At 43.1% G+C, this 17,423-nt stretch overlaps 1 protein-coding gene and 1 long non-coding RNA gene across 11 annotated transcripts in view, besides 2 other annotated features; one reads left to right on the forward strand and one right to left on the reverse strand.

Moving 5' to 3' along the window:
• The window catches only part of LOC124902789 (uncharacterized), a 40,983-nt gene extending 34,291 nt beyond the window's left edge, over positions 1–6,692 (forward strand). The window contains exon 2 of the long non-coding RNA XR_007062948.1: positions 4,282–6,692. This is a non-coding gene — a long non-coding RNA (uncharacterized LOC124902789). The remainder of the gene's footprint in view (positions 1–4,281) is intronic.
• Positions 828–2,027: an enhancer, noted in NCBI's record as "P300/CBP strongly-dependent group 1 enhancer chr11:128318161-128319360 (GRCh37/hg19 assembly coordinates)". NCBI's record gives its function as "activates an origin of replication core promoter dependent on BRD2, BRD4, P300/CBP, MED14 and CDK7 cofactors, with strong dependence on P300/CBP, by STARR-seq in HCT116 cells {active_cell/tissue: HCT116}" and the evidence as "EXISTENCE:reporter gene assay evidence [ECO:0000049][PMID:35650434]".
• Positions 4,684–4,863: an enhancer, noted in NCBI's record as "active region_5715". NCBI's record gives its function as "activates an Ori minimal core promoter by ATAC-STARR-seq in GM12878 lymphoblastoid cells {active_cell/tissue: GM12878}" and the evidence as "EXISTENCE:reporter gene assay evidence [ECO:0000049][PMID:35858748]".
• The window catches only part of ETS1 (ETS proto-oncogene 1, transcription factor), a 128,794-nt gene continuing 122,697 nt past the window's right edge, over positions 11,327–17,423 (reverse strand). For all 10 annotated transcript variants that reach the window (XM_017017314.2, XM_017017315.3, NM_001143820.2 and 7 more), the window contains 2 exons: positions 16,071–16,189; positions 11,327–15,138 (listed from right to left, as the gene is read on the reverse strand). In XM_017017314.2, coding sequence (XP_016872803.1) covers positions 14,923–15,138; positions 16,071–16,189 — 335 coding nt within the window. In that variant the 3' untranslated portion in view covers positions 11,327–14,922. The remainder of the gene's footprint in view (positions 15,139–16,070; positions 16,190–17,423) is intronic.

Below are 17,423 nucleotides of genomic sequence, written 5' to 3' on the forward strand. Positions count from 1 at the left end.
TTGGATGCCAGACATTGTGGACTGGGTGGATATTTTTGTATTCCTAAAAATACTCTTGAGTTAAGTTACTTGGAAATAGTTTGACCCTTTCGAGTCTTGCCTTTAAGCTTTATTTGGCAGGAACAGAACAGCATTTACTCTCGGGCTAATTTTGCTTTACTATTGAGGCAAAACCTTTCAGTACTATACCCAATGCCCATAAATTATAAAGTTCAAGAACAGGCAAAACTATGCCAATAGAAATCAGAATAGTGATTGACGGTAGGGTGTGGATATTGGAATTTTCTGGGGTATTGCTTACACAAATGTACCTATTAAAATTCATCAAACTGCTCAAAATCTGTGCATATCACTGTATATCAATTTTACCTCTATAAAAATCATGTTTGGTATCAAATATATGTGTACATAATTAAATGCTGAAAAGATTTATACTAAAATTTCAATAGTGAAGAATATCAGGTAGTTTTCTAATTGGCTTCTGAATATTTTCATGTTATCTAAATTTTCAATATATATAACCTTTTAAAAATACATAAAACTAATATTTAATGAAACAATTTAAGGGGGACTCTCTACCTTGTAGAATGGATAAAGGAGAGGAAACAAATATTTATTGGGCATTTGCCATGTATCAGGTCCTTTAAAAGTCACTTTATTACATGATTCTATTTAAACAATATAACAACTCTATCAAGTAGGTATTATCCCATTTGCAAAAGAGAAAACAGTGATTCAGACTTATGGTTATGTGTCCAAGGACCCTCAACTTGATCTTAGGTCTGCCTGCTTCTGAAGTCGGTATTTTGATTCTAAGAGAATTAAGCCCTCAAGACGGATTTCTGAAATTCAGAGAGTAAAGAATGCTTGGTAGGATAGAAGAATCCCAGAAATACATTACTGTCTACGAGCATAGGAATTGGCACATTGGACTCTGGGAGTTAACTATTAAAATGGGAAAGTGAATTATCCAAATGTCAGAGTCACAAATCAAGCACAGTTAATCTGAAACCCAAGAAAGTCTGACCTGAGACAAGGAAAGAGGTGGGTGGCTCAGAGGAAAAAAAAAAAAAAAAAAAACAAACCTAAGACCAAGTATGGCAGCCGGTGGGAGAGGGAAGAAAAGTGTTCCTTCCTTATAACCTGTAGGCAAGTTATAAAAACAAGGGTTGTTTTGTCCCCTGTCGGAGTGAAACCTCAGAGACCAAAGTTCAACGCTTTCAGGTTACGGGAATGGAAATGGTGAATTCCCTGTATCAGCTGCCTCCAGCCCAGGCAAGCCTGACTCACAGGTTGGTCACCTGTTTGGAATGGGCTGTGGGAGAGCACACCCATGAGGTTGCTCAGGGAGCAATGGGCCACAGCAGTTTTCCCTGTGAATTGTGTTCAGGTAAGACCCTGCAGTCAGACCAGCTCACTCCTCCTTTGCTATTTCTTTATATATAGTCTCTTTCCATTCCGAAAATGTACTCTGAGCCCTGGCCTTTAACAGCTTCATTTGTTTTCCTTCATCTCCCAGTTTACAACTGTGAAGGAAACATTCATTGATCAAGTTCTTTCAGCTTGGAATGGAGTCTCTGACTCCCAAAAATCTCTCCCAGGACCAACTGCAAGGGGGTAGTGGATCTAGGATTAAGGCTGGAGCCTGAAGCACTGCTGAGAATGGGGAGTCTGACACGTAATGACCTCCATATATACAAGCTGGTCAGTGCTCTCTCAGAGCCTGCATGTGGCTTTGTCCAGAGAATATGAATCCCAGTTTGAGCAGCAATATGGATCAGAGTTGGTAGAGAGGAAGATTGAGGCTCTCACACTAGGATGTCTTCAGCATCCTTCTTGTATCCTTGTGTGCAAAATGGGAGCCTGGGAAAGGAACTAGAAGAACTGAACCCCATCCCTCTGATACATACACATTGCTTTTTTCCTTCTTTATAGCATAGCTTGGCTGTCCAAATGTTCTGGCAGAGACCAAGCTCCAGGCTCAGTGGGGGGTTCTAATTTTCCATGGCTCATTCACTTCTGAGAACTTTGGCTCAGTTGCATAATGGGGGGCTACTTCCTGCCAGTTGTGGCCCTGTTGTGTGATACCTTCTGACACATACGTTTTTTTGAAAAAAGATTGTCTGCTGGGAACTGGACTGAAACCAACATATAACCGTTTGTTTCATACTGGTTAGGAAGCCACCAGGAAGGCCTACCCAAAGTGGTTTTAAATACATACACACACAGTCCTCTCCTCTTAGAGCCAAGAACAGGCCATTAGTGATGTGTTAGAAAATCCAGGCTGACCTTCTCAGTCATGAGGGAAGCTCCCTGGGCCCACCAGCAGGCTTTTGCCAAGAATGGGCTCCATCTTGAGCCCACAGCTCTTCCCTAGCTTCCCAGCAGAAGCAAGGGGAGAGTGGAGAAGTCAAACACTTCTTGAGCATTGCTTACTATATGTCAAGTTCTACCCTGGACCCTCAATAGAAAGTATTTCACTGATCCTCACAATAGATCTGTGGGGTAAGTGTCACTATTGTTATTTTGAGGAAACTGAGGCTCAGAAAAGTTACATGTATTCCCAAAGTCACATAGTAAACTGAGTGTGTAAACTTGAGTGGTAGAGTCAGAATTTAAACACTGATTTTTATCTGTTGCAAATGTTGGGCTTTTCCCACCACCAGCAGAAATCTTGCTGGCCCTCAGCAAATATTCCTTTACAGCAGTCATTTCAAAACTTTTCTGACCCTATACTCCCATCAGTAAACATTTTTAAGAACCACCTTCAATACAGACATATTTATTTATTTATAAACTCCACGCACTAGCTAATATCTGTTAGCATTGCCTGGTAATATAATACCCCAGAGCACTAATCATCATTAATGACAATAAATATATATCCATGTTTAATGTAGTCTTCATGACTTGGAAAACTTTTTGGCCAGATCTTGTGAAATCTAATTAAATTGCTTTTGTTTTAGCTTCAATACATGGCTGGCAAATAATTTGTTCCAGGAGTAGAAGAAATGATATGGCATTCTTCTTACCTTCTTGGGCATGAGTTGCTCCTGCTGTCAACAATCTCCAGTTTCCTTACAGAAGAATTTTTAAGACACTTTTCCATTTTTTAAAAGTGATTCGGTTAAAATGGGATAATATGGTTTGTAAATCGACTCACTGTGTTTATGCAAGACCATGGAATACTATGCACCCATATAAAGGGATGAGTTCATGTCCTTTGCAGGGACATGGATGAAGCTGGAAACCATCATTCTCAGCAAACTAACACAAGAACAGAAAACCAAACACCACATGTTCTCACTCATAGGTGGGAGTTGAACAATGAGAACACATGGACACAGGAGGGGAACGTTACACACCGGGGCCTACCAGGGGGTGGTGGGCTAGGGGAGGGCTAGCATTAGGAGAAACATCTAATGTAGATGATGGGCTGATGGGTGCAGCAAACCACCATGGCACCTGTATACCTATGTAACAAACCTGCACGTTCTGCACATGTATCACAGAACTTGAAGTATATATATATATATATATATAAAACACCATAATATGCTAAAAGAGAAATCAGGGCACCAGTAGGACCTCCCCCACCCACCTTGCAGAATTTCACTTTCCTCACAGTGCTTCGCACGGATGCAAATGACTCGTGGGAGTCTGAGGGTACCGGGGTCCATATATACATTCAATATTAGTACATAGAAAAGTAGTTCCCATTTTTAGATTGAAAGTACCTATGAATAGAAGCTCTAATGGTTTCTTCCCTTATCTCGTGTTCTATTCTGCGCAATTCCTGGAGCGGGCAGTCCCCGCCTTGGAGACTCCTGCCTTACAGGAAGGGGTCACATATTCCTGAATTGGACCCCACTCAGATGCAGAAGGCTAAGAGTTTGGATGAGAAAAGCGGGCCAGTGAACAGGAGAGCCGGTGGGTGGGGTGGATGGAAGGAGGTGCCCACTCTGGAGGGCAAGAGAAAGGCACGAAAGCATGGGGCCACATGAGCGCGGCGTTCTGGGCCATCCCCGGTGGACTCCTGCCTAGGGGAGGGGTGCGTCGGCGGCGGCAGCCCAGTTTTCTGGATTTCTTTATTTCTGAGTCCAGGTCTTTCAGAAGCCTCTCTCCTAAATGCTCAAATACCAGAGTAAATGAAAACACTCTGCGGCACAATGATCCCTTAAGGTTTGTTTTCCAAGATGGAAAAGAAAGGCATTTCAGCCTTTTCACGGATAAAAATAACTTGCTGTTGATTTTGAAATCCCTTTCATTTGTCTCCCACAGACCAGCCCCATACAATGGTACTTTGTGCAAGAGCTCTCTGCATGGGCCGGCCGGGCCCCCTTCCCTCCGCCTGCCAACGGGAGGAGACGCGAGGCGCTGGGAGCTCCAGAGTGGGCGAGGACTTCGGGCAGACCCGGCGTTGCTGTTGGACATCATTCAGAAGTCCCCGCTCAGCGGGGGCAGCCCGAAGAGCAAAACAAACAGAGCGAGGAGTAGTGGAAAATGCTGAGTCCTGGAGCTGGCCGGAACGGCCTTCGCCTTTCCACGCCCAAAGCCAGCCGCTCTGCCCACCTGCAGCTGCAATAGCAAGCAGGGCCGCAGCAGGCAGGGAGGCCTTGGCACCAGAGCCCGTCCAGGGCTGGGAAGGCGGGGAACAGACACTCCTCTCTCTTCAGACAGGCCCTCCAGAGTCCTCACCCTGAAGGCTGAGGTCTTTTTCTTGTTCCAGGAGTCCAGTGAAAAAATAGTTCTCAAAAACGGAGAAAAAGACTTTCTTGAACTGCAGTTTCAGATTTACTAATAGAGTCCATTTACATAGCACTTACTAAATGTCAAGCACCAACACAGATGAATTGGCAATCACCATGTCAGTCCTGCAAGGTTGGTACTTTTATCCCCATTTCACAGATGAAAAAAGCCAGGCACAGAGAAGTCAAATAACTTAACCCAAGTTCACAATGCTCAACAATGGCAGGGCCAGGATTTACCACCTGGTTTAAAATTTAAAACGTAGGATTTAAAACCTACTTTACAGTCTTAAAGGTGACTGCCTTTTCTCTTCAGCTTATTAGATTTCCTCTCTAGGAATACAAGATGTGCAACACAAAGAGAGGAAACTCAAGATGGAGAGTAAAGGGAATGAATGAGAGACAGGAGAATCACCAAGGACTAGAATAATACAAAAGATTTATTTAAAAAGCAGGTGGCCATCGGCCCAGGAGAAGGAGTGTGAGACCAAGGTACAGAAGTGGCAAGAAATGCTGAGCTGGGGCTGGAAGGTATGACAGTACTAGTCAGACAGGCACCTGTTCTGTCCAAAACAGGATTCCAGAAGTAATGTGAAGAGGTCACTTGGCAAAGGGGGCTCACACAGCTCTAGGGGGAAACTGAGGATCAGCAGCTGGAGCAGAGAAATAGAGAAATGAACACCTTCTTTCTTTCCAATTACAGCCGCAGTGGAGGCAGATGCCCAGGGCTCCTAGGAGAGACAGATCGCGATTAGAAGAGAGGGCCTATGGCTGTCATGCAGGGAGGTCTGTCCATTCCTCTAAGCCAAGAGCTCTTGTCCCCAGAGGAAAGAGGAGAAGGAAGAAAGGAACAAACAAATGAACAGAGGAAGGAATGAAGAGAGAGAGAGAGAAGGAGGGAGGAAGGGCTGGAAGGAAGAAAGGAAGGGGCTGTTTTTTTTCTTGTGTTTGGAAGAACAAGCTGCCAACCCTCATTAAATGCATAGGATTGGCTTTAGAGTTACTACACCTAAATTCTAATTCTGTCTCTGTCACCGGTTAGTAATGTGATCTCATGGAAATCACTGAAACTCCCTTAACCTGAAACCCCATGTCTATACAATGAGGACACTGGAATTCACCTCTAAGGTTCTCTCTGGATCTAAAATCTACACTCTGATGATACTGAGACCAAGGACAGGGACTTTGATTGTTGCCTTTTCATGCCACCCAAGGTCTACATCCTAGCACAGTGCCCACCACCCATCCACACCGACCAGACACCCAGGGCTAGTGATTCTGTGTTCTCAACACCTCTCTGATGTGCCATAGCTGCTTCTCTTGCATGCAACTCTTCTGAGCATGAAACAGTTTTCCAACTGGTCTCCCTGCCTCCACCCTTGTCTGGCTCTGATTCATGTTCTGCTCCACAGTCAGAATGATTTTCCTAAGCACAGGTCGGATCATGTGACTTAGCCTGCTGGAAGAGCCTCAGGACTCCACGTCACTCTTCACACAGCCCACAGGGCCCTGGATCATCTCCACACATTCTTGCTGTCCTCTCCTCACACCCACACTCTTTTGCACTCTGTGCTCTAGATCCATAAAACTACTTCCAGTTTCTCCATCAGTGTACACACTTTCTCACCTCTCAGCCTCTGGACATGCATTCCCCACCACTGGAACCTCTTTCCCTCCCCACTTAACTAACTGCTACTCACCTGCAGGCCACACATTCCTTCAGGTTAGGTTCCTCCTATGTGTCAAATCATATTGTTACTTCACTGGATGGTGTTCCCCTTTATTTGTCTATAAATTGTAATTTACTGGAAGTAGACGGAAGGAAAAAAAAGTGTGTTTACCTTCTTCCTTATGGTTTCCCTTGTACTGAACCCAATGCCAACCACACGGCAGGTGCTCAAGGGATGTTTGTTATCTGAATAAATTTGCTTGGTGGCGTCACTATGTAGGGCACCTTCTAGATATAACATCCTATAGTTCTGTAAAGTGAGATGTCAGTGACTCTGCATTTTCAGTTTCTAAAAACTGAGAGAGATAAGGCCTTCCACCACCCAGTGATCCAACTTTCTTAGTCTCCTGTTCCCAGCCTAAGCACCATTATTTAGCAGATTCTTGTGTCCATCAGAACTAATAGAAATGATTATCATGATCAATACTGAATCAACTGAAATCGGCTTTAAATCAGGATGCATTCCCTAGAAATCGGATGAAATTTAGTACAGTGTGGGACTAGAGACAGGGCTAAGGGTATCTGGGAAGAGAGAGATCTGCATTCTAGTACCAGTTCTGTCATTAATGAGGTGACATTGGGCAAGTCCTCTGGCCTCTCTAAACCTTGAATTCATGAATGCCTAATTGAAGAGGTTGCACCAGATAATCTTTAAGGTCTCTTTTGACTCTAAAATGTAGAATTTTAGAATTCTGGCATTTGCTCTTCTTCTCATCATCCTCTAGGCCATTACTGGGTTTAATGAGGAGACTGTATAAAGTATCGTACGACCAACAGGAACTGCTCTGAGTAATTATGCCAGGACAAGGGATGGACTCTGAGACTATTCCAGGTACACCAGAATGTGTGCTCACTCTTATTTTAATTGTCTTTCTTGACTGGGCTTCAGGTTTGGGGCTGTTACTTGTAGTTGCAGAGAGAAGGCTATTTGGAATTTATGATCAGGGCTCTGATCTGAGATTTCACAGAGGCCACACTCATGGGTTCCTAGAGCAGCTAACACATGCCACCATCATGCACATGGCACACCTGGTCCCTTCCTGCTCTAAATGGGAAATCTGTGCCCAGAGTTAGCACCGCCTTCCATCCATACCCTGCTGAGTTCATACACTCACCTCAGCCCACCCGTGTTCCATGATTAGCCAGTGAAGCAAATAAATCCGCTTGGGCTCTCGTGCACAGCTCTGTGCTATCATGATGAAAACGTGGCCATGGAGAAAACAGATATTTGAATGAAATATCTGTTACCCCTAAACACTGGTCACACTAGTCATTGTTTTCACCGTCATTCTTACCTTGCCTCAAATATGGATAAGCCTCTCACATTACAGGTGCACTGGCTGCACTGTATTTGCAAACTTCCTTATTCCCATGGAAGGCAGAACAAATGGAACAAAGTTGGTCTACCTGAGAAGTAGATTGGCAGAGGGAGTCCCCCAGTTCAATCACACTTGGAGTTTTGAACTTGCCTTCCCCTGAGATCTGTAAGAACAATGACTATTTCTGATGAACACAACACAGTTCCAAAACCATCTGGAAGCTCCCAGTCCCATCTCTTCTTCTAAAGTTAGGAATATCCTTGTTTCACAGAGGCAATCCCAGACCAAACCCAGTACTCATCATTAGCTTTTCAGGTTTGCAAAGACAGTTGCCACTTCTTTGAGTATACCTGTACATGTGCTATTTCTAGGTACATTTGGGGGACAGCCTTTGACAAGGTACAAGGAGAGTCACAGCTTAAATTACAGGTTTGCCTATAAAAAGGTTAAAAAGAGCCTGTTACTGCCCAGGGCCAGTGGCTCAGGCTGACCATGTGGAGTGGAGAGAGAGAAGGTAGTGACTCTATCTTGACCCTCACTAATTCCCACAAGAGGCTGCTGAAAACATCCTTGTGCCGCTAAATTGTATCACATGGAATGACCAGGGCTGACCTGACATCAAAGCTCTGTAGAAATGCTGTCGTCCAGAGAGCACGAGAGTCTGAGTGGCAGGGCAGAGAGATTAGAGATAGGACTGTAAACTCAAACGGGCTTTGGGGATTTTGCAGCCTGCCACAAGCCTGGCCTTTGTTGATTCCCTAGGTTGCTGTGGGCAGATGATCATCGCCATCATTACTTTGGATGTCAGGACATTGAGATACACCAGGCAATCTGATGCAACTGGCTTTCCCAGGGCAGAAGCATTTGCCAGGAAAGTGGAAACAGGGAAAGGGACTGGAACATTGAGTAAATCAGGAAATAGCACTGACCAAGGGACAGAGAGGCCAGAGCCACTTTACCCCCTCATTTGGGGTTCTAAATTCTTATCAAATTTTTTTTCCTCAAGTTCAAACCTTGTGGCATTTTCACCAATTGATCAACAACTGCCTTTATCAGACTCCTTGAATCTCTGCCTCACTGCAAAAAGTGCCAGGGGAATGCTTTTCTCTTCTATTATTTAGGTGAGGATTCTCACGGCATGGAGGGATCTCACAGAGTAGTGAGATGCCAGCAGCATGCCGAGCCAATATGCCCATAAATGCAAGGGCCAGGTCCTTAATCCAGCCATGAGGATGGTCAAGGATCCCTGTATACAAGCCAGAGAAGGGACTTTGTACAACTAGAACTGAGTCGCAAACCATCTTCCAGAGCAGCCCCTGGGGAAAAGCAGAGGCCAAACAGCAGTATGGAAGTGAAAAGGCTCACGTACTGAAAGAAGACTTTGTCCTTGTCCCATATTTGATGTGTGAAACGTACCCCTTAGTAACCAGGCCTGTGGCTCCCAGAGCTGGTGAGCCATCAGCCAGCATCATCAAAAGAGACTTTTCAGCGTTCTATGCCAGCAATACGGCATCATGGAAAGAACAGGGCTTAGAAGTCAGATGGTTCTCTGATGAACCTGATGACCTCTTGTACTCTCTTCCACCGTAGGCTCTAGAATAAAATGAGCTTCATGCCAAGTAAACATGGAATGTGGATAGATATCTACACAGGGGTCACAAAATTAAATTCTACAGGGACAAGGCAGGAATGTCAATGTGTGGGCCTGACCTATGAGAGTTAAAATAGGGGACTGATATGCACCTAAAGGAGGCAGCTTCAGTTCAGTGCCCATGGTGGTTGCTATGAAGGAATATGCTAGAATCCAAAGACATCCCATTAACCTACTACGGTACATTCTTCTTTTGGGTTGCGTGGGGCAAGGGGTTCCTACACTGTGAAGGCAAAAGTGCACATCTCTATGGCATGGAACCAGCCTGAGTGTGACCTCTAGTTCACATTGTTTGCCTCATTGTACCCAAAGCACAAATCACAATCCTTTTCCTTTTTAGGTTTAAATAGTTACATTTCATTCATACACCTCTGCCGATCCATTTGTTTTTCTTTTCTTTTTGTCTTGGGTGCTGCAGCTTGCTCCAAAGTTATAGCAGTCGAGTCAGAGTAGACTTGGTTAATTTTCTTATCCCATCACCTTCTGAAAGCTGTTCAAATCTACAGAGTGTGACCATCACCTCCTCTTTCCCTTGTGTCTCCTTCTATCCTCACCTTACCCGATCCTCCCAAATTCTGCAACTGCTTTTGAAGATACTGTCTCCTCTACAGACCCCCATCACTGCAGCTTCAACTGTGGTCTCAGCAGTATTGTTAAGAGGAATCACCAAAGCCCGGTTGCCTGAGGGCTCCTCATCTGAACTCTGGCTCCTAGTGGGAGAAGCGTAAGCCTAAGCTGAATTATTCAAGTACGTCTTGTATCTTTGACCCTGGTGAGCACTGAGTCGGGTACTTGGAGGGATAACTGCAACTTGGCACTGAAGAAAAGCTCTCTGGTTGAATCCTTGACTGAAGCAGAAACCTATTCTCTGTGTGCTGTTTATTCGGGAGAAGAGTTCAAATGTGGCCTCAGGTTGGCTCAGGAGTTGTGGCTTTTCCCAGGTTTGCAGCTGAAAACTAAAAACAAAATATAAGGACCTGAAGCCATTTTTCCCAAAGTCTCCCAGTGAGTGGTGGTGGCTTGACCAGGATTGAGGGGCTGAAGCCTTCTTCGCGGCCAGTCCTGCTCCCTGACCACCAGACCACACAGTCCGTGCTTAACATGTACTCAGCAAACCTCAAGCTCCAGGCCTGAAGAAACAGATTTTCCAAAAACAGAGCTCTCTTTGTGAACAATTCAGCAAAAATTCTCTTTCCAGCTGTGAGCTGGGATTCATGTTGCAAATGTTGGTGTTAATTAAAAACATCCACCTTCTACAGTTTCAGCAACAAGGAAAAAGCACCATGCATGAGGTGTTCCTAAGCACTCCCCTCCAAAGCACTTATAAACATGATTTTATTTATGGCATGTGTTGCTAGGGGTTCTGACAGATATTATTATTCCCAATCTTCAGCCCCAGTGAAAGAGTTGGGGCCAAGGAGATGGATGTGAAGGGCCCAAATTGCCATAGAGCAAAATTAGTATCAGTGGTGGACACAAGAATACTGTTCATTTCCCACAGGATCCACTAAAGATGTTCAACTTTCTGTATTCATATCAGGAACGGTACGTAGCTGAAATCAAATGTTTATCTGTTGAGTCATTAAACGTTTCCTTCACATGGCTCTTAGTCCTTCGGACATGAAGAAGTGAGGTCTGACAAGGCCAGGGACATTCCACAAAGGATGACACAATATATTCAAAGATTGGGATGTTCGATGACTTCCCTATATTCCTGTTATATTTCTCACCTTATTAGGAAATCTTTATCTCCAATGGTCCTGAGCTAGTGAGATCAGAAAGACTAAACTGCATCCCTCTGTGCTTGCCTCTGGTTGGTTGATTTGTCCTGCTTTAATACATGATCCAGACAAGAAAGAATCAAGCCAAAGCCACAGCATTATGAATGAAATTCTTTGTTTTTAATTTCACACAGTTTAAAATACAATATGAAATCAGGCTACAGTATATAAAAAACTCTCCAGCAAAATGATGTGCCAGCATCAGCTACTAAAATAAACAAACAAAAAACTCCGCCATAAGAATTTTTTTGCATTTTTTTTTAAAAAAACATCGACACTTACATCGCTACATCTCTAAGCTACCTCAGTTCTGATTTTTAAAAAGCACCTGCTTTTCCTTTTTTTCATCTTGCTTCTAAATTTTCAGCTTTTAAAAAATATAAATTATATGAAAATACAAGTTGGAAAATAGTCAAACACAATATAACATCTTTTTCATCCCTATACTTCTCAGCTTAAAAAAAAAGTATTCTTAAAAAAAAAAGTTCAATAACTGAGGCAGTATTCCTGATAATTTTATTTTAATATATATATTTTATATATGTATATGTATACATATATTTATGGTTCCTTGAAACTTCTTTGGAATGTAGGTAAGAGTTCAACAAATTTATATAGACCCCAACAGAGTAAGCGGCATGCACAGCATGACTAGAAGAGAGATGGTGTATTTCTCACCATGAAGGTTAGGCAGGTTAATGCTGTAAAACCCAGAGTGTTCATCTCCAAAGTGAGGAAAAGCACATCTGATCTTTGAATGCTACCTCCAATCCCCACAGCCACAAAAATCAGGGCTCTATGTAGGGGAAGTCCCTCTCCAGAATGGAGAAGGGAACAAAAGTGACTCTGAACCCTAAAGCCAAAACCAACAAAGGTTAAGGCATCTCTGGGAAAATAAGGGTTTCACCCAGCTAGACCAGATTTGCCCATCCTTCCTCTGAAGTTAACGTGTGTTTTTAAAAAGCATAAACGCAACATTTCCAGTGTATAAACCACCCACCACTCTTCCTGGGATGGTCTCTGGCCTTTGGACAAAGGAGAAAAAACATCTGGCCAGATCGACAAAGCTGTCTTAACTAATACACTATCTACAAATCTTGAAAATGGTGGACTTAGAGAGAAAGGGAATTTTAGCAAACAAGCGGGCGGAGGAGCACTAGGAGGCACTTTCTTATATCTTATCTGCTATAGGAACTGCAGGAGTTATACTCACAGAAGGAGAGTTTCCGGCATAAATTTAATAGGAACGGTGGATGATTTGAGAAAGTGATTTTATGCCTGGTTGCAAACAGCAAGCAATAATTGATACCCGGCCCTGGTTCTACTCTTACCCATTATTGAAATGTGGAAAGACTTACCTAGAAATCTAAGGTATTATTTCAGCTGCAGTTTTGCATGTCTGCAAACACACACACACACACACACACACACACACACACACACACACACAACATTCACACACATGCACACATTCACACACACACCTTTTGCCAGTGCCCAACAAAAATCACATAATCTAAGAGAAAACAATGTAGTCCAAACAGTTCCACCCAACACTCCCTGAGCAGCTCCTAAAATATTTTGAGAGCTTCATTAAGGCACCTGCATCCAAAAGATCAAAATAATACAGCTGGGATAATTCTGCCTTTGCTTTCCATATGGATGCTCCAATTCATCAGTATGGGGACACTCATGAATCACAGAGCTATGTTCCTGATAATTCTGGGTCTGCAAGAGGATCTGGGAGTAAATAACAATCAATTTTCTTAAAGATATGCTAGAAAGTAGTTAGTACTTCCAATTTCTCATCCAAATCCCAAAAAGGGCCAGCCCTGAGAAGCTTACCTGAAATATTTCTTTCCTTCTCTCATGGAAGTCCATAAAAGCCACCCCTCCTCCTTATCCTTTCAACTGGGCAACTATAGAGTGAGGGAGATTCTAATTGTATTAGGCACTTTTCCTCACTAGTTAGATGTTGACTTTTCCTCTAAAACTCCATTTTCAGATTCCCCCTCACAACCAGCAGAAAGATGACTACCTTGCTTGACTATGTTTGTATTTAAACCTTGGGGGAACTAAAAATCTATTCAAATCTCATGGACAACCTTATTTTCCTCACTGAACCTCCTTCCTTAGTTTCCTTTGCCTTCAAGTCATTCCTCTCTTCTGGAATTAACCTTCACTTACCCTGTGCCAAGACATCAGACCCAAGCAAGAGGCCCTGGCATCACCTGTGCCATTCATTTTGCATACACAGTCTCACCTGACATCCTACCGGACTAATTTAAATTCTTCAAAGGAAAGCCTTGCACTTCTCTTCCAAAGACAGCCAAGTCACATTTTATTGAAATGCTCTCTTAATTTCCATCACTTCTAAAACTCAGCAAGTCTAAACTCTTCAACTTAGGTCGTGTCTCAAGTTACTTTTTCACTCACCAATCAGAAAGCCGTACACTTCTCTCTACTGAATAACAGAGTTGGCGGTGAGGGGGTGCAAAAAATGGAGGACTCTTGGAAAATAAGACATAAAAGAAAAATTACAGAGTGTTAGTTTGGAACGACATGCATTCAGGACTTATTTCTTAGGACCTGAGGGGTAATGCCCATGCATACAGCTTTTATTCCAAGTCATCTATGCTACAGATATAGGACTAAGAAAGAACCAAGTCAATCTTCCTCCTTCGATCTCCCTTCCAGGACTTCAACAGTGCTCCTACGTTTACTGTCGTCCAAAACCAGGGATGCAAAATACATTCAGTTCAAAGACTTAATGCTTCTTAGCTCAACATTAAGTCCAAACCCCGAGAATCCACTGATAACAAGTAAGTAAAGGGATGTGCTAATTTTTTTTAATTGTAGATGACATTCACACACATAATTCCCCTGTACCCAAATCAGCATTAATTGTCCTTCTTATATAAGTCCCATGAATTTGGGATCCCTGATCTCAGTGAGAGCGTTTTGCTTTTCCAATGGGGTCTATATAAACAGTTTTCTTTCATTGTGACAGAATCCTCAGCCGGCAAATAAAAACAAACTTACATGATATTGCAATACTGAGACCACCTTAGAGCTTAAGACGATTTTTAAGAAAAAAAATACTGGCACAAAATTTAATAAAATAAATTTTAACACAACAACGGTTTTGGCCCCTCCCCACTGAAGTCCATCTTTGCTTCAAAACTAGAGTGATAGGTAAATAGTTCTCAGATTTTCAGTGCATCCCCCCCCAAAACATGTTTCATCCCACCCACCTCTTTTTTGCCCTCCCAGACCTAAAAACAGAAGCAAATTAATTGCCTTACATCAGTTTCATGAGTTCTGATGTGACAATGTCACTTGCTAATGGGTCCACAACTCAAGACACTTTTTCATGGATGATTTTTAAAAATGATTGGACACATTAGTCTCTTTCTCTGTTAAGCCAGAGCCTTCAAGCTTCTGAGAAGGCCCTTCTCCCTCTCCTGAAAATTTGCTCAAGAATTTCTGGTCCCACCCACCCCACAAGTCCTGGCTTTCCTTTCCCAACTGCGCACAATTGATTACAGCTGCAACTGACTTAGCTCCCACCCCTGAAGGTAAAAAATGAGTTCTGGAAAATAAAAAATAGAATAACAATTCAAAATTCAGAGTCCAACCAACACGGCTGTCCTTGGAAGGTCTCAGCAGGGTTTCCCCAGCCCCTTCAGTGCCATCACTCGTCGGCATCTGGCTTGACGTCCAGCATGGCGTGCAGCTCCTCAGGGGTGTACCCCAGCAGGCTCTGCAGGTCACACACAAAGCGGTACACGTAGCGTTTCCCCGCTGTCTTGTGGATGATGTTTTTGTCGTAATAGTAGCGTAGGCCACGGCTCAGTTTCTCATAATTCATCTTAGGTTTGTTTTTCCTCTTTCCCCATCTCCTGGCCACCTGAAATTTAAAAAGAAAAATAAAGGAGGAGTAGGCAAAAATCTACAAGACAGGCCAAATATATATGTTTCTATGCCTATGCTATACCCATTCATGGTGACCCATGATGCTCAAGTAAGATGATTTGAGATTCATGTAGATATAGAAAATATTTTTCGGGCCTATCTCCTGAATTCCATTTTTCATGGGTTGGGCAAGGATGGGAGTCACAATGATTCTTTAAGTTGATGAAAACACAGTGACCCTGAACTAGGATTAAATATGTGACTTTAAAAAACAAACAAAAAGCCACACTATACATTCTCCTCTTTCCGCATATTATTAGTAAAATCTCCTTGCTTTGCAAGCATGAAATCTAACAGGGAAGTGTGAAGCGGAGGAGCTGAGCTGCAATCATACCTGCCTTTCATCAACAGGAAGTGTTTTTTTTCCATACCAGGGCACAAATATTTTCTCATGTCTGCCAGAACAAAGATGTTGTCTCTCCTGTTCATTGTTTTTTATCCTCAGAATTGGGCATGGCACGGAACCACTACTCCATAAACATGTGTGTAATGAAATAAGAAACTAATGAGCCAATCTCCCAAGGCCTCTTGAACTGTCTGGCCCCTTTCACACTCACAGAGCCACCGGGCTAGGAAGAGGCTAAGTCACAGGAGGCAGCTCTATGGGTGATAACTGACCTACTGCCAGGCACGTTAATGCCTTCTATCAGCTAATCCTGTAAGACAAATGGGGTAACATAGATCTTTTCTCTATTTTCCAAATAATGAACCTGGAGCTCAGACAGGCTACCTAGCTTGCTCCGGGTGGCAAGTGGCAGAGCTGGGAATCCCAATCCTGGAACACGTCATTCAGGCCCACGCCACCCCTTCCAGGAGTTTTCTCTCATCCTTCCTCAACACAGTACTCGCAAGCCCCTCCTTCCTTACCTCATCTGGGTCAGAAAGTTTGAATTCCCAGCCATCTCCTGTCCAGCTGATAAAAGACTGACAGGATTTATCAGTGAGTAATTCCAGAAGAAACTGCCATAGCTGGATTGGTCCACTGCCTAGAAACACAAGCCATTGTGAATCATTACACCAGATATTCAGCACTCTACGCAGCTAATCCCCACACACGGCACTCCCACATCCCTCTTCTCTCAGCCCATCCAGCCAGGAGAAAATGAAGGCAACAGACAGTGCACATGTCGGAGGAAGTGTTATGAGCTCGAACAGATAGAAAAGACAAAGGCCTCCCTATAAAACAAAAGCATGGAAGAAAATGTGTCAAGTGCTTTATTTTGATTAACTTAAGGATCGGTTCATTTTTATTGCTAAACAAATTCTAGAAAGAGAACACTGTGCCTATCCTCTGGGATATTCTAAGGCAGCATAATCTTTTACACCTGCAAAAACTAAGTCATTATTTTTGCCTTCAGAAGTAAGAAACATATTAACGAAGGAATGAATGTCTTTGCCAGTTCCAAACACAAGTTATGGCTCATAAGCACTGCTCTGTAGTAGGGAGCCTGTGGCCCCTGATTTGTGAGTAAGAAGGATCACTATCCTCCGGCCCTCTTACAAGGAAATAGATGTTAAATATCTGTTCAGTCATAATATTTCTCTCCACTGCCACCACCCTGCCCTTCCAGTCCACTTACAGGAAAGCACCCAAAGGAAAAAAAAAAAAAAGCATCATTACTATTTGAGGAATTAACGTGCCACCCAGAAAATCCTCAGGGGTCAGATGAGGACTGTCAGAAATTCTGCATAGGTTCAGTATATTCTAAATTAGACACACACACACACACACACACACACACACACACACACACACTTCTCTGTCTTAGCCATCAACACTCTGACAGTCAATTTATTCTATGCTAAAAGGTTTATATCACACCGATTTCCTTTGAGGATACTTTTCTCATCTGAAATGACAATGCCACCAGTGATTCTTAATTTATAGGTGTCGGTGGAGAGACAAATAGGGGTTCAAAAGTCCATGCTTCTTGTTACACTGCCCCTTATAACATAAACAAACTGGGCAGAGCGGGACTGGGAAAGACCCAGTCCATGTCTCTGGATACAGCCCAGGAAGCACCAGCTCCTACAGGAAAGCTTTGCTCACTAAGGCTCTAATTTTTCACCGGAGTTGCAAATTTGTCTGATCCAAAGTAAACTGAGATTTAACAGGAAACAAACTTTAAGTTCCCTCTCAATCTAAAAAAGAAATTGCCTTCATAATCCATAAGGGTAATGTCTTGTTGTATCTCATATTTCTACAAGACATTTTCACAT

The sequence above is a fragment of the Homo sapiens genome, chromosome 11, assembly GCF_000001405.40.
Source record: "Homo sapiens chromosome 11, GRCh38.p14 Primary Assembly".
NCBI classification, from domain to species: Eukaryota; Metazoa; Chordata; class Mammalia; order Primates; family Hominidae; genus Homo; species Homo sapiens.